The sequence below is a fragment of the Homo sapiens genome, chromosome 8 (assembly GCF_000001405.40).
Source record: "Homo sapiens chromosome 8, GRCh38.p14 Primary Assembly".
Classification (NCBI taxonomy): domain Eukaryota; kingdom Metazoa; phylum Chordata; class Mammalia; order Primates; family Hominidae; genus Homo; species Homo sapiens.
Genome location: NC_000008.11, coordinates 41705643 through 41720207, shown reverse-complemented (window position 1 = coordinate 41720207; position 14565 = coordinate 41705643). Strand labels below are relative to the sequence as shown.

The window sequence follows — 14565 nt, the reverse complement described above, 5'->3', positions numbered from 1 at the left end:
ACTCCCCTAAAAAGTTAGCTATGGATATAATTGGGCAAATATGAGAATAAGGTCTGAGCGCATGGTGCAGATAAGGAAAGCCCACAGGAGTCTAGAGTGGTCAGGGAAGGCTTTCTGGAAGAGGTGGGTCTGCTGGACATGGCTTTGAAGGTTTGGCCAGGTGGAAAGGAGAATGTCTGTGGTCAGAGACCGGCAGGAGCGTGGAGGCCAGGGTGAGCCAAGCTCCCTCCAGAGACTTGTGGAAACATTGTGTAGGGAAGAAGTAGGGAGTGACGTTGGAATCGTCCTGAATCTCCATGCTCGGTCCCCAGAAGACTTTGTGATTGCTTGTGTTTTCCTCTTTACCCAGAACGGCCTGTCCCCAATTCACATGGCGGCTCAGGGAGACCACCTCGACTGTGTCCGGCTCCTGTTGCAATACGACGCAGAGATAGACGACATCACCCTGGACCACCTGACCCCACTCCACGTGGCTGCCCACTGTGGACACCACAGGGTGGCTAAGGTCCTTCTGGATAAAGGGGCCAAACCCAACTCCAGAGCCCTGGTGAGTGGGGGTGCTGCTGGAGAAGGTGCAGAGTGGCAGGGCAGGCTGGGGGCAGGAGCAGAGAGGCATGGCTGGGCCTGTGGGAAGGGCGGCAGGTGCCCGGAGCTCCCCAGATTCGAGGCCTGAGCAGTGGGGTGTGACAGCACTGGATGGTGGGGGCCTGGTGTGCACCCCTCCTGCACCCTCCACTGCACACCCACCTGGGTATCGACCCCTGCCCCGGTGACCAGGCCGAGGTCAGGGATGAGTTTGGGCCCAGGAGACCGGACTCAGGAAGCATCCTGCATGGTAGGTATGCGGGCTTGGGGCATCTCTCCAGTGGAGCCAGGCCTGGAGCTGAGTGATTCCTTAGAGGCTGCGTGGCTTTCTGAGCTGCTTTGGGGATGAATGAGATGGCCAGAGCTGAGCATCCTTCGTCCACAGAGGGGCTTGTAGTTCTCATGGCACTCGTGTAAAGGGAAGCTCAGGCCCAGAGCAAATCCCTCCTGTGGTTCCTCTGCCTCCTTCCCAGGACAGGGGCTCCCAGGGAGTCTGGGGATCCAGCAGGGCTGTAGCTTTGCACTAAGCATGCCTGTAACCACATCTCCTCTCTGCCTCTTCCCAAGGCAGCAGAACTGAGGGGCAGGATATCCTCCAGGGATGGCAGAGGATGGCTCATTCATTCACTCATTCACTCACTCGCTCAAAAAAGCTTTCACTGAGCAGTGCCCACAGGCCACGTACTGTTATAGGGGAGTTGGGATTTCCCAGCCTCAGGACTGTTGACATTTGGGGTCGATATTTGTGGTCTTGTGTGTTGTAGGATGTTTAGCAGCGTCCCTGGCCTCTACCCACTAAGCACTCATAGCTCTCCTTCCCTAGCTGACAATAAAAAATGTCCCCAGACATTGCCACATGTTTTGGGGGTGAGGTGCAAACGATACCCCCCCACCACCACCTCCCGTGTTTGAGAACCACTGCCTTAAGTGGATAAACCACTGAAAAAAACAGACAAAAACAAATACACATTTCTGCCCTTCAGAGTTTACATTCAGAGTATATCACACTTTAAAGCAGAAATCCATTTCACTAAAAATGATCAGTGGTTTCAGGGAAGAGGGAACATGATTTGCTTCACAAAAGTACTCTTTTATTGTAAATTTACCCTTAGGGGGCTTTAAATGGCAGGATCTTTTAGTGCATCCAAAATATGAATAAATTTTTAAAAAAGGTTTATAAACAACATGTTCAGGAACATATCTAGTGCATCAAGTGAGAGCCACCTGTCTCTTACATGATTTGCATTAATTGACATTATAAGACTAATCAATTGGCATTAATTCGTTGATTGGTCTATGGGCATCTGCTGGTGGCCTGGGCAGCAGCTGCCTTTTAGAGCAGCCAGGTGGTCTTCTGGGCGTTCCTTGGGCCCGTGTGTAAGCTCCTGCTTGTCTGTCTCCCTTTGTGTGGGCTGCAGAATGGCTTTACCCCCTTACACATCGCCTGCAAAAAGAACCACGTCCGTGTCATGGAGCTGCTGCTGAAGACGGGAGCCTCGATCGACGCGGTCACCGAGGTAGGAGAGACTGCAGAGGAGCCTGGGGGCAGGCCTGTGGTCTCCCCCGACCCACCTTCTCCAAGAGTCGCTCTTTGTAGCTTTGTATGGCTGCAGGGGTGTGTGTGTCTGCAAGTCTGGACTGCTGGAAGGAATGAATCAGGGGTGACTAAGACAAGGGAACATGAGTCAAGTCTCATGGAGCCTTCCAAGATCAGACACAATTTTTGCAAGTTGTAAGAGTGGGCACGACTTGCCCACAGTAATTTTTTTCTCCAACCATTTTCTTGGAAGCAAACCCACCTCATATAGCTCCCTTTTCTTGGAAAATCATTTGTGAAAGCGTTAGATACTGTCAGGTTCTCTCTTCTTCAGGGGAGCGGAAAGACTCCCACTTATCGGACTCTGCCTTTGTCTGTTTCAGTCTGGCCTGACACCTCTCCACGTGGCCTCCTTCATGGGGCACCTTCCCATCGTGAAGAACCTCCTGCAGCGGGGGGCGTCGCCCAACGTCTCCAACGTGGTAAGCCCTCAGGCAGGCAGGGGCTTGCTCCCCTAGACCAAGAGCTCAGAGGGCAGCTTTCACCAGTGCTCCCAGTCCTACTCTCTGGGGACAGAGCTACGATTCCCAGAACAGCCAATGCTTCAGACTGGGGGAGGACATCCCTGTGTACTGACGCTTTCTGGATTAAATTTCTCACACATCCGTAAACCTTGGAGGCTTTGTTTTGGACAATAATTTTGGAACGTCTGTAAGTGTTCACTGGGAATACATTTACATTTTTGAATATTCATTAGCTCTGGGGTTTACTTTTAAGTGTACCTAGAATACACAGACACACACATAAACTCATATACACGCATGCACCTGCACGTATGTGCACACACACACATACACACATACATGCTCATGCACACATGCACACATACCAGGCTAAAGAGCTGCCTGCTGGGGCAACTCCACCTCTTGGACAAAAACCCACCAAGCCACTCCAGACTGCACTTCCTAGCTCTGTGTGTGCCGTTTTGGACAGCAGGCATGTATGAACAGTTCTATAATTTTGTTATTTTATAGAAAGTGGAGACCCCGCTACACATGGCAGCCAGAGCCGGGCACACGGAAGTGGCCAAATATTTACTCCAGAACAAAGCCAAAGTCAATGCCAAGGCCAAGGTGAGTAGTGAAGGCAGGAAGGGAAGGGTTTCAGATGTGAGCAGTTCCAGCACTGTGCAGAGAACCCATCCTCATTCCAGGCGGGGCTGCAGTGCTGTGGCCTGGGGATCACTTTTCATCCTGATCAGGTCACTCTGAGCGCCCAGATTCTGCTTTGCAGGGGGTTTGAGAAGACCAGGGGTATTTCTGCATGAGAGCCACATTTCTTTAAAATAAGGAAAGTCCAAGGTGCGTGGCTGGCCTGAGTATGTCCTGGGCTAACGATGACAGTTGCCATGTAAGGAGGGGGGCAACGTTTTAAAGAAAGCATTGCCAGCAAAAATCAGGCAAGAATTACTTGATCTAAAACTGGAGAGTTCCCCCTTGCTGTAAACACATTTTGCGGGGGTTGGAGGAGTAGACAGTGAGAAGAGCTGTGGAGTTTGCCAGTTGCTCACTCGGCCAACAGCAGGCTTCCTAACCACAGGCCACGATGGGTTCTCCTTAGAGTCAGGCCTGTGATTTGTGTTTGGGGCCCTCGAGGGAAGCCTCCAGCTGGGCCCCATGAGACCTGGCCCAGGCAGCCCGACAGCAGCATTCAGAAACAGGAAGTGGGGGGGTGTGGGTGGAAAAGTCCTCATTCTCTGTCAGCAGTTGAGACTCCCCTGACCCCAGCACAGAGAAAATCAAACTAGAGTTCAAGCAGAAAGACAAGCGCATCCACTCAGAAAGGATGTGGGAGACGGATGAGCAGCCACACTGCATTGAGTGCCTTTTATGCACCAAACGCAGAAACCATGTACATTATCAGCTTGATCCCAGCTGAGCCCTAGCAAGTAGACGTTATTATTCCCATTTTACAGATGGGAGGGCTGGGCCTTTGGGAAATAAGGTAGAAATAACAGCTCACTTGAAGAACTGTTGTAAGGATTCAGTAGGATACAGCATATTGGTTCCTGTAACTCAGAGACTTGATTCGAATCCTGACTCTTCATCTTCTTAGCTGTGTGACCTTGAGAAGGTCACTTGCCCTCTCTGGGCCCTGCCTTGCTTCTCTGTAAGATGAAAAGTTGGATTTGGTAACATTAGCGTTTCTTCTTCTTTGTTTTCCCTTCGGGGTCCAGGATGACCAGACCCCACTTCACTGTGCAGCTCGCATCGGCCACACAAACATGGTGAAGCTCCTGCTGGAAAATAACGCCAACCCCAACCTGGCCACCACCGCCGGGCACACCCCCCTGCACATTGCAGCCCGTGAGGGCCATGTGGAAACAGTCCTGGCCCTTCTGGAAAAGGAAGCATCCCAGGCCTGCATGACCAAGGTACAGCCTCCCGCCTCGTGGTCTAAGGAAGCAACAGGCTCACTCAGCCAGGCCTGGAGCTCGGAGGGGAATTCCTGCCTGGTTCTCTTTGTCACCTCAATGATGCTGCAAGCAGCTGGAAGGGTCGTCACACTCAGGGCTGGCCACCACCTGCAAGCCGATGTGTCTCCATCCTTCCCCAAAACAGGAAGTCAACCACAGCTTCTCACACACCCAGCCAGCCTTCATACATTTATCATGGCACAATTATTAGTCGAAACCTGCTTTGGGCAAGTCACAAACAGGTTCTGGGGATATGAAAAGGATTAAGACTCATACCCTGCCCTCAGCTAGCCAGCAATCAACTACCACTGTGAGGTGGTTGAGACCCTCTTGCCAGAGGAGTGTGGACCGTAAGTGCAGGGATGCCTGCCAAGTCCTGAGGTCTTCGGCCTCCCAGAGGGCTCAAAAATGGCTGTGCCTTTGCTTTCATTGGCCTCTCCATGCCAGCGGAGGTGCAGCCTCCTTTGCTGTGGGCCCTTTCTCCAGGGAGGACAGCCCTGGGGCCCCAAGGTCCTGACAGCCTGTTTCTCCTCAGAAAGGATTTACCCCTCTGCACGTGGCGGCCAAGTACGGGAAGGTGCGGGTGGCAGAGCTGCTGCTGGAGCGGGACGCACACCCGAATGCTGCCGGAAAAGTGAGTTTGAACCCTGCCCTCCCCTGCAGCTCTCAGGTTAGAGGCAAGGACAGAGGATGGACATCAGCACTTGCAGATTCCATCTCTTGCCTGTGTTGTTCATCTTTTTTTTCTTTGAGACAGGGTCTCGCTCTGTTGCCCAGGCTGGAGTGCAGTGGTGCCATCACAACTCACTACAATTTTGACTCCTGGGCTCAAGCCATCCTCGAGTGTCAGTCTCCTGAGTAGCTGGGACTACAAGCAGTTGCCACCGTGCCCGGCTAACTTAAAAAAACAATTATAGAGACAGGGTCTCACTATGTTGCCCAGGCTGGTCTCGAACTCTGGGCTCAGGTGATCTTCCCTCTTCAGCCTCCCATAGCTCTGGGATTACAGGTGTGAGCCACTGCACCCGGCCTGTTTATATTTCCATGGGTAGCCATCGAGAGAGAATGGCCTTTGGAAAGACTGGCCTTTCTGTCAAAGGCCTTATCCTTTTGGAAAGACCCGATGGCCTTCTCCGGGCAAGTGTATTGATCTCACTGCCCACGTTCCCCCCTGTTCCCACAGGGCTCTGGGTCCTGCCGATGACATTCTGTCATGACTCCAAGTTAAGACTGGCCTGGGAAAGATTTTAAACAGGATTTTACTGTATAAAATAGGTGCTCCCATGCCTAAAGGGAGTCCTGGGAGAAAGTCCGTGGGAGTGACAGCCGGCCTCTTTTGTCTTTGTCCCCTGCAGAATGGCCTGACCCCCCTGCACGTGGCCGTCCATCACAACAACCTGGACATCGTCAAGCTGCTGCTTCCCCGGGGCGGCTCCCCGCACAGCCCTGCCTGGGTAAGGCCCGCCCCTCTCCCCAGCTGCCCCTGGAGAGCAGGTCACCTGCTACCTTCCAGTCCCTCAGGGAGGGGGGTTTCCACAGCAGCCCAAGGGTTTTGCGTTCTGTTGCTATTTTTACCTCAGAAATCACGCCTCACTTTCCCACATGTTACCTGCCCTGTAATCACGCTATTCAGGGCCCAGGAGTGGGATGGGAAGTGGGTAACAATTCCCAGCCAGGGGTTACCTCGCAGAGGCGGAACTTGTTTTATACAACAAATGTGTCCCCAAGCAGTTGCACGTCAGCTGGGTTTTGTAAACTGACTGTCAGAGGTCAGTGTGGATAAAAATCCCTGGGGAGTGGTGAGCCCGTTTCTAGCATTGCTAGATTCTGACTCCGTGGGACTGTGCAGTGTGGCCTGGAAGCCTCATTTTTAACCTACTCTCTGCATGGTTCCAAGGCTGGGGCCACAGCGACCGTACTTTGAGAAATCCTCAGGGCTGCTGGCGAGCTTGCTGGAACCTGGAAACAAGAGACCTCTTTAAAATGAGAATGATCATCTCCAAATTCATTTGTCTCTGAGATCAGACTTTTAGATAGTGGCATTTTTGTAGGGAGGCTCACCTGAATGTGAGACACATTGGCCCAGCCTCACACCAGCTTCGGAGGCGAGCTGCTCAGAGCAGCAGGTTCCGTGACCCTTGAGGGAATCAGAGGAGGGAGCAGATGGGTTGCTTCTGGAAGACCCCACGGGGTTGGGTAGTACAAGGATAAAGCTGGAAGGACCATTTTTGGGAACAGGCTGCCTGCTGTGGGAAGGCGAGGCTGTGTAGGGATAGGCACCGCGGGACTGGTGGCCAGCGGGGAGAAGGGGAGAGGAGAGGGAGCGGGGCCAGGAAGACAAAAGCCACACGCAGTACCCGCACTCTATGGGGCAGCCAGGCGCACGGGAAACAGGATAATTTATGGGAGATCCGTCATGTGGCAGGCATCCAAGTGCTGCAGAGAAGGAGCCTCGGGGTGGGACCCCATGTGACTCCAGCCAACACCTGCTGGCTTAGGGCCTCCGCAGCCCAGGCAGGGAGCGTCAGTGCCAGTGCAGGGCTTCGGCGCGTTCTCCCTCCCTGGACAGACACGTGTCCCCATCTTGCAGCATCGCTCTTCTACAGACGCCGGCTCCCGACAGCTGTCTCCTCCTGTCCCTGCTGCAGTGAGTCCCACGTCGCTGTGCAGAGGGAGCACACGGCCCCGCTGCGATGTCGACTTACTCCTGCCTCTAAAAATAAAAACCTGGACTCCCCTCCTCCTCACTCCCCTACTTATATAAAAGGAACGGGAGCCAGGTTCATTATATTTAAAGATAACTAAATCCAAGCACAAACCCTGTACAGATGGGCTTTGTTTCCATGGCAAAAAATAGTTTCCAAAGTAGTCTGGCAATTTTGTAGAATTTCACATGCAAATCTCTCTGCACCCAAACCAAACCCTCCCCTTTCTAATTTTGATGCTAATGTTGTTTGAACATTTGGGCAGAGCTCCCTCCGTGTGCATTCCTTAGGATGAGCTCATTTCCTTGGGAAAGAAGAGCCTTTTGCGGGCACACATTCCTCCCTCCCCTCTCCGTGACTTTCCAGCCTAGTTGTCCTTGTCCTTGTCACCTGCAGAAGTTCATTTGTTCATTTTAGTTCTGGTTTAGGGGAAGCTCAGAGGGGCAGTCCGTGTTCTGAGAGTCACAGTGGCACTTGTATCTCAATTTTAACCAGAGGTTTACCTGGTAGCCTGAGCCATGTCCAGGGCAGGCCTACCCTTGGGCAGGACAGGGGGCTGGCCTTGCCAGTGTGGACATCGCTGCTTCCCAGGTGGCCTGGGATTCCTGAGGATACATCCATGAACACACTGCAGATTGCTCAAGTGATGGACCCTTGTACATTAAAAGATGGCCTAATAGGGCCGGGCACGGTGGCTCAAGCCTGTAATCCCAGCACTTTGGGAGGCCGAGACAGGCAGATTGCTTGAGGTCAGGAGTTCAAGACCATCCTGGCCAACATGGTGAAACCCCGTCTCTACTAAAAATACAAAAATTAGCCGGGCATGGCAGCGTGCACCTGTAATCCCAGCTACTTGGGAGGCTGAGGCAGGAGAATCGCTTGAACCCGGGAGGCAGAGATTGCGGCGAGCCAAGGTCTCACCACTGCACTCCAGCCTGGGCAAGAGAGCGAGACTCTGTCTAAAAAAAAAAAAGATGGCCTAATAATCATTGCTCTCATGTAGTTATTAATGGAAAAACCAAACTCCATAAAGTCTTTTGGAGGTTTACTCTGAGCCAACGTGATAACCATGGCCCTGGGCAACACAGCATCAAGAGGTCCTGAGAAAGTGTGTCTGAGGCGGCTTACAGTTTGGTTTTTTATATTTAGAGAGGCAGGAGTTACAGGCAAAGACGTAAATCAATACATGGAAGGTATATATTGACAAAAATACCTAGAAAGTCCCAGAGGTTATAGGCAGATTCCGAGATTCTTTAATTTGCAATTGGTTAAAGGAGTAAAGCTTTATCTAAAAGTTTGGAATCAGCAGAAAAGCATGAAGTTGAGAGAAGGGTCTGTTCACCAGGGTCCTGGGCCGAGTGACCTCCAGGGGGCATGTGACTCAGCCCTTGCCTACTGTGGCCTTGGGTCCTGTTGATAATTTGGTGTCTTGTCACAAAGAGTCCCTTTGGTTAGTCTTATGATCTCTTTTAACATGAATGCCGGTCAGTTGCGCCTAAACTCCGAAAGGGAGTGGGTATAGCAAGGCGTGTCCAACCTCCCTTCCTTCGTGGCTGGGAATTCAGTTTTTAAGGTTTTTCTGGGATCTCTTTGGCCTAGATGGGATCTGTGTGGGGCTTAGGGTTTTATTTTTCATTTACATAGTGAAAATCTTCTCTGGGCCAGCGCTGACTGGTGCTCCGTGTCTAATCGTGGGGAGGCTTAGCTCTGTTTTGAGCCGACCCTGCATCTCAGGCTGGATCTGCGGCATCGCACCCCATTCCTTTGCTCTCTTTTAATACAGTGCAAAAATCATGTTGTTTAATTAAACTTATTATAATCCAAATGCCGATCTTGTTACATGAACACAACCTACGAAGAACAATTTAATGTTTTCTCATAACATAATCAAATTAAAAAGGAAGAATACTAGAAAGGATTATCTCATGTCATTCTTCAAAGAAAATGATTTTTCAATTTAATTCAATTCCTTGGGTAAGTCTCAACTTTTCGTTTCACCACAAAAGCCACCTATGGGCCCACCTTGCTGAGCTTTCCCTGTACCCAGGGCTTTGACTGCCTTGGCCAGCCCCTTTCTTTCCCTTTCCTCTTCCTGACCAGTGATCCTGGCAGAATCAGAAATGTTGGTTTCCACAGTAAGAGAGTGGCTGGCAGGGAGAACTCAGTCCTCAGCCAGAGGAATGCTGGCCGAGGTGGGGAAATCTCGTGCCCTGAGACAGATCCCACGTTGGGCAGCCATCTGCTATGGGCCTGGGTGGGCGCATGTCCAGGACGTCCTCCAGCCTGGCATTGCCCTTAACCCTGAGTGCCCTAGGGCCTTGCTACTGAAAGTGTGATCCCTGGACTAGCATTGTCAGCATCATCTGGGGGCTTGCTAGAAATGCACAATCTCGGGCCCTCCCTAGCGCCTCTGAATCAGACACTGCATTTTAACAAGGTCCCAAGGGATTTGTGTACACATCAGAGTTTGAGAACCACTGTTCTAGCTGGAATTACCTGGGCTGTGCAATCAGAAGTTCAAGGTTGGGTTATCTGTTGTTCTGCTTACTACGTGACATTAGATAAGGTGCTTAACCTTACAGAGAATTGGCCTCTTTCTCCACACAATAGGATAATAAAAATGCCTGCCCTAGTGACCTTATGTGGTTTTAATGAAGCGCAAAAAAAATGCAGGTGAAAGTGGTTTTCGGCAGTGATGAGCAAAGGTGCCCACCTGGGAACTGTCTCTTGCCTGCAGGGAGATAAGGAGTGTGCTCCAGAATGTAAACCCATGCGCTGCTTCCTTCACTGAGACAGTCTTGCTATCAATAATAATAATAAAAACAAAAATTGGCTGAATAAACAGTGCACAGTGACATCATTGATTTACTTTTGAGGCAAGCTTCTTCATCTCATTGTGCAATTATAATGTCTTGCAAACCAGTGCACTGCAAAACCATGACACACAGGTGCATTACTTTTTAAAATTTTTATGTGTAGAGACAGGGTCTTACTCTGCTCCAGGCCATAGTGCAGTGGTACGATCAGAGCTCACTGCAGCCTCCAACTCCTTAGCTCAAGCCATCTTCCCACCTCAGCTTCCTGAGTAGCTACAGCATGCACCACCATGCCCAGTTAATTTTTCACTTTTTTTGTAGAGATAGGGTCTAGCTATGTTGCCCAGGCTGGTCTCAAACTCCTGGCCTCAAGTGATCCTCACACCTCAGCCTCCCAAAGTGTTGGGAATACAGGCATGAACACTGTGCCCTGCCAACTTTTTATATCTTAATTTTGGAACATACCTTCACGTATAGTATCACGTTTGATCCACCTAACAACTTCGAGAAATGAACAAGATAGATGCTATTATCCACTTTTCATGACTTAAAAGATACAGAAGGAAGTCTAGGTCATGGAACATCTTGCCCTGGGTCACACAGGTAGTTAACAGTGGAGTGAGGACTGTCCCACATCCTCAAGTCCCTTGCCAGGTGCATGTCCCTTAAACCACCCTGCCTAATGCCGGCAAGGCCCAGAGGGCAGCACTTGGCCCAGTTGCACTGGGAAAGAAAAGGGGCTGATGTTTCTTTTTCTTTATGAAATATTTGGGGTTTTTGGCTCTTATTGCAGGAAGCAAGAAATGAGAATCTTTCATTTCCTTACCCAGCCTTCCTGTTATTCTCTTCCTGTCCAGCAGTTTGTCAAAGCATAACAGAAAACAGATGGTGAAAAAAGATGGACATATAGAGGCTATGCAAGCCTGAGGAGCTGTCTCCAAATCAAATGGATTTTGTTTGTTTGTTTGTTTACCTAAATTGCTCCTGGGTGATGCCAGCCCTGCTCACTGGGTGTCCAGCCGGCCAAGAACCAGACTCAGCCCCTGCTTGTGTGTTGATATTGTCAGCTCAGCATTCCTGTAACCAGGCTCTGGGCGGCTTCTTCTGTTTCAGAATGGCTACACCCCTTTGCACATCGCTGCCAAGCAGAACCAGGTGGAGGTGGCCCGTAGTCTGCTGCAGTATGGGGGCTCAGCAAACGCCGAGTCGGTGCAAGGTGTGACGCCCCTTCACCTGGCCGCCCAGGAGGGCCACGCAGAGATGGTGGCTCTGCTGCTCTCGAAACAAGCCAATGGCAACCTGGGGAACAAGGTAGGCATGGTGTCTTCGGATCTGCCCTGGAGTGCTGGATAACAACGTGTGGTGTCTTCATATTGAGCATCTATGTGTGCCCAGGTTCTGAGTTAGGGGTGTGTGTGTGTAATCCTTGGAACAGCCCTGCGTACATTTCACCTTCATTTTATAAATGAATAAACAGAGTCAGAAAGGTTGCTTATTCCCAAGGTGGCAGGATTCTGAGCCTTTCTGATGCCAAAGCCTTTGCCGATCTTTCTAAACAGATTGACCTAAGGATCTGCAGAAAGATCAATATTAAAATCCATAATAAACTTTCCCAAATATAGGCCGGTGCCTACCTTCAGGAGTGCATTCTGTCATTTGGGACTAAATATTCTATGTTCCGTGGGGGAAAGATATTTTTAAAAACACTGACCTATACACTAGGAGTTCTCACTCCAGCAACAATAGGTGTGTGAGGATAAAGCCTTCTAAAATTGCGCACACATCTGGGGAGGAAGCGCGCGTGAGCAGTTTTCTGGGTGAAGCATTCATAATGTTTCTCAGCTTCTCAAAGGAATGTGTGACCCAAAAAAAAAGACTAAAAATCACTTCTTTTTTAAATAACAGTTTTATCGAAATATAATTCACCTAGAAGTCACCCTTTCAAACTCTACAATTCAATGTTTTTTAGTATTTTTACAGAATTCAGCAGCCTATGATCTAACTCTAGAACACTTTCATCACTCCGAAAGGAAACCTCGTACCCGTTAGCAGTCACTTCTCATTTCCCCCAGAGCCCCCGGTCCCTCACAACTGCAAATCTTTCAGTCTCTAGGAATTTGCCTGTTCTGGACATTTCATATACGTGGAACCATGCAATGTGAAGAACCACTTCTTTGATGATAAATTCACATAGCACACATTCAGAAAGGCAAGCATTTTCAGGGCAACTTAAGATTTCTTAAAAACCTATAGATTTTGTACAAAATCTGGCACATTTTGTACAAAATCTGGCACATTTTTTACAAATTTGAACAATTGACCCCCAATGAGCGAACCATTCTGGTAGGACCATTATATTCATTATATCTCATGGCATTCTGGGTTCCTTCACTGCCCCACTTAATGTGAGCTTTGCAAGGAGACCGTAAGGTGACTGGAAACCCACTCTGTCATCCGCACGCCGCCCTCACGAGGCAGATTATTGGTGTTAGCTCAAGAATGAGGCAGAGCGCCCGCCTGAGAGGCTGACACAGTCACTCCTCAACCGAGGGCTGTTCTCATTGGAGCCACCCCCGCCTGCCTGCAGGAGGGGCCCACCTGCTTTGGCTGCAGCAGTGTGTGGTGGGGCATCATGACTGCCCACAAGCCTCTGGGCAGCCTGCGGGGTGTGCAGAAGGCAGAGGAGGGCAAGTGGAGTCCTGTAGAGGGGACACGGTCTGTGCCTGCAGAGAAATCCGTTTTGTTGGTCCCACGCTAGCAAAGTGTATTGAGGCAAAGTCCAGGGGAGAGAAGACTTTTCTGACATTTTCATGTGGGTGCCCACATATCAAACAACATCTCTGATACCTTACTGCCTTCCTGACGAAGCTGTGATGCCACCTGCAAGAATATGGTCCGTTCAATCCTGGCGGGATGCTCTGCCCTCTTGACCGTGCCAGCACTGGCTGTGCAGTGATAACAGTATGGTACATTATTTATTTATTTATTTAAGATGGAGTCTTGCTCTGTCACCTAGGCTGAAGTGCAGTAGTGCAATCTTGGCTCACTGCAACCTCTGCCTCCCAGGTTCAAGTGATTCTCCTGCCTCAGCCACCCAAGTAGCTGGGATTACAGGCATGAGCCACCACGCCCTGCTTATTTTTGTATTTTTAGTAAAGATGGAGGTCTCACCATGTTGGCCAGGCTGGTCTCGAACTCCTGACCTCAGGTGATCCACCTGCCTCGGCCTTCCAAAGTGCTGGGATGACAGGCATGAGCCGCCGCGCCCAGCCATTTAAACAGCACTGTGTGCCTCTCAATGTGCTTCACCTGTGCTTTCTCCAGCGCTCCTCACCTTGCCCCTGAGATGGATCCATGATAACCCCTATTGTCTAGATTAGGAAACCAAGGCTACAGGGCTCTGAAATTCACCATGGAAATGGGGCATTCTTTACTGGGAAGTCCATAAAGCACCAACGATGGGAAAGTGCCATAAAGTTCATCTAGATCAGAAGTCAGCAAACTATGGGCCCGTGGGCCAAATCTGGTCCACCACTTGTTTGTGTAAATAAAGTTTTATTGAAACACAGCCATGCCCATTCATTTAAATGTTAGTCATATAGAGACATGGCCAAAAATATTGATGATCTGGCCCTTAACAGCAAAAGTTGCCAACCCCTGGTCTAGTGTAACCACCTTACTTTTTAGATAAGGACATTGGGGCCCAGAACAGGAAGAGCTTTGCCTGGAGCCAAATAACTAGTTGGTGACTGCAAAGTTAGCTTCAGCTCCCAGACCTCAGAGCTCTTTACTTGTGGCCTGGAATTCTTTACTTGATAGAAGGTGATGAACGTCTTTTTCTTTGCAGAGCGGACTCACTCCCCTCCATCTGGTAGCACAAGAAGGCCACGTTCCAGTGGCAGATGTGCTGATCAAACACGGCGTCATGGTGGACGCCACCACCCGGGTAAGGCAGGCAGCCGGAACTTCAGTCTGTGTGGACTCCTTGCTCACACTTCAGAATTGAATCTTCCACAGAGCTTTGAAACCCCAAAGACCCAGTGGGACATTCTTCTCTGCCACTTCCTAGGGCTGGCAGTGGAGTTTGAAAACACTACTCCTAATTACCTGACTTTCCCATTGGGGATTTTTTTAAAGTTTGCTAGACCTTTGAGCCTCTGCAGTGAGAAAGTGGGGCGAATGTTTAATCATGACTCTAAGACCTGTCTAACATGAGTAGTTAGCATGTCAAAATGTCAAGTTTCCCCAGATCCACACAAAAGCTTAGCTCCTTTTCTTCCAGCACTTGGTTAAATCCAGTTCAACTTTCTTTGAACTTCTGGTGTGTGCAAGGAGCTATGTGAATGGAATCTGCCGTCGAGGTGTCTGCAGTTTGGTGTGGAGGTGATTGCTAGGGACAGGAAGGAAGAGCATAATTTGATATTTACTCTTAAGAGAGGAGCTGGG

The 14565-nt window shown here is 50.1% G+C and overlaps 1 protein-coding gene across 5 annotated transcripts in view, besides 3 other annotated features; it reads left to right on the top strand.

Annotated features, from left to right (window-relative positions):
- The window catches only part of ANK1 (ankyrin 1), a 243517-nt gene that overhangs the window by 176534 nt on the left and 52418 nt on the right, over nt 1–14565 (top strand). For all 5 annotated transcript variants that reach the window (NM_001142446.2, NM_020477.3, NM_020475.3 and 2 more), the window contains exons 10-18: nt 350–547; nt 2004–2102; nt 2506–2604; nt 3157–3255; nt 4359–4556; nt 5134–5232; nt 5954–6052; nt 11233–11430; nt 13967–14065. In NM_001142446.2, the coding sequence (NP_001135918.1) occupies nt 350–547; nt 2004–2102; nt 2506–2604; nt 3157–3255; nt 4359–4556; nt 5134–5232; nt 5954–6052; nt 11233–11430; nt 13967–14065 (1188 nt within the window). The remainder of the gene's footprint in view (nt 1–349; nt 548–2003; nt 2103–2505; nt 2605–3156; nt 3256–4358; nt 4557–5133; nt 5233–5953; nt 6053–11232; nt 11431–13966; nt 14066–14565) is intronic.
- Nucleotides 2436–3288: an enhancer, noted in NCBI's record as "H3K27ac-H3K4me1 hESC enhancer chr8:41574438-41575290 (GRCh37/hg19 assembly coordinates)". NCBI's record gives its function as "activates a minimal SCP1, AML or CMV promoter by ChIP-STARR-seq in naive H9 embryonic stem cells {active_cell/tissue: H9 hESC(naive)}" and the evidence as "EXISTENCE:reporter gene assay evidence [ECO:0000049][PMID:30033119]".
- Nucleotides 4778–4837: an enhancer, noted in NCBI's record as "active region_27294". NCBI's record gives its function as "activates an Ori minimal core promoter by ATAC-STARR-seq in GM12878 lymphoblastoid cells {active_cell/tissue: GM12878}" and the evidence as "EXISTENCE:reporter gene assay evidence [ECO:0000049][PMID:35858748]".
- Nucleotides 5793–6992: an enhancer, noted in NCBI's record as "BRD4-independent group 4 enhancer chr8:41570734-41571933 (GRCh37/hg19 assembly coordinates)". NCBI's record gives its function as "activates an origin of replication core promoter dependent on BRD2, P300/CBP, MED14 and CDK7 cofactors, and independent of BRD4, by STARR-seq in HCT116 cells {active_cell/tissue: HCT116}" and the evidence as "EXISTENCE:reporter gene assay evidence [ECO:0000049][PMID:35650434]".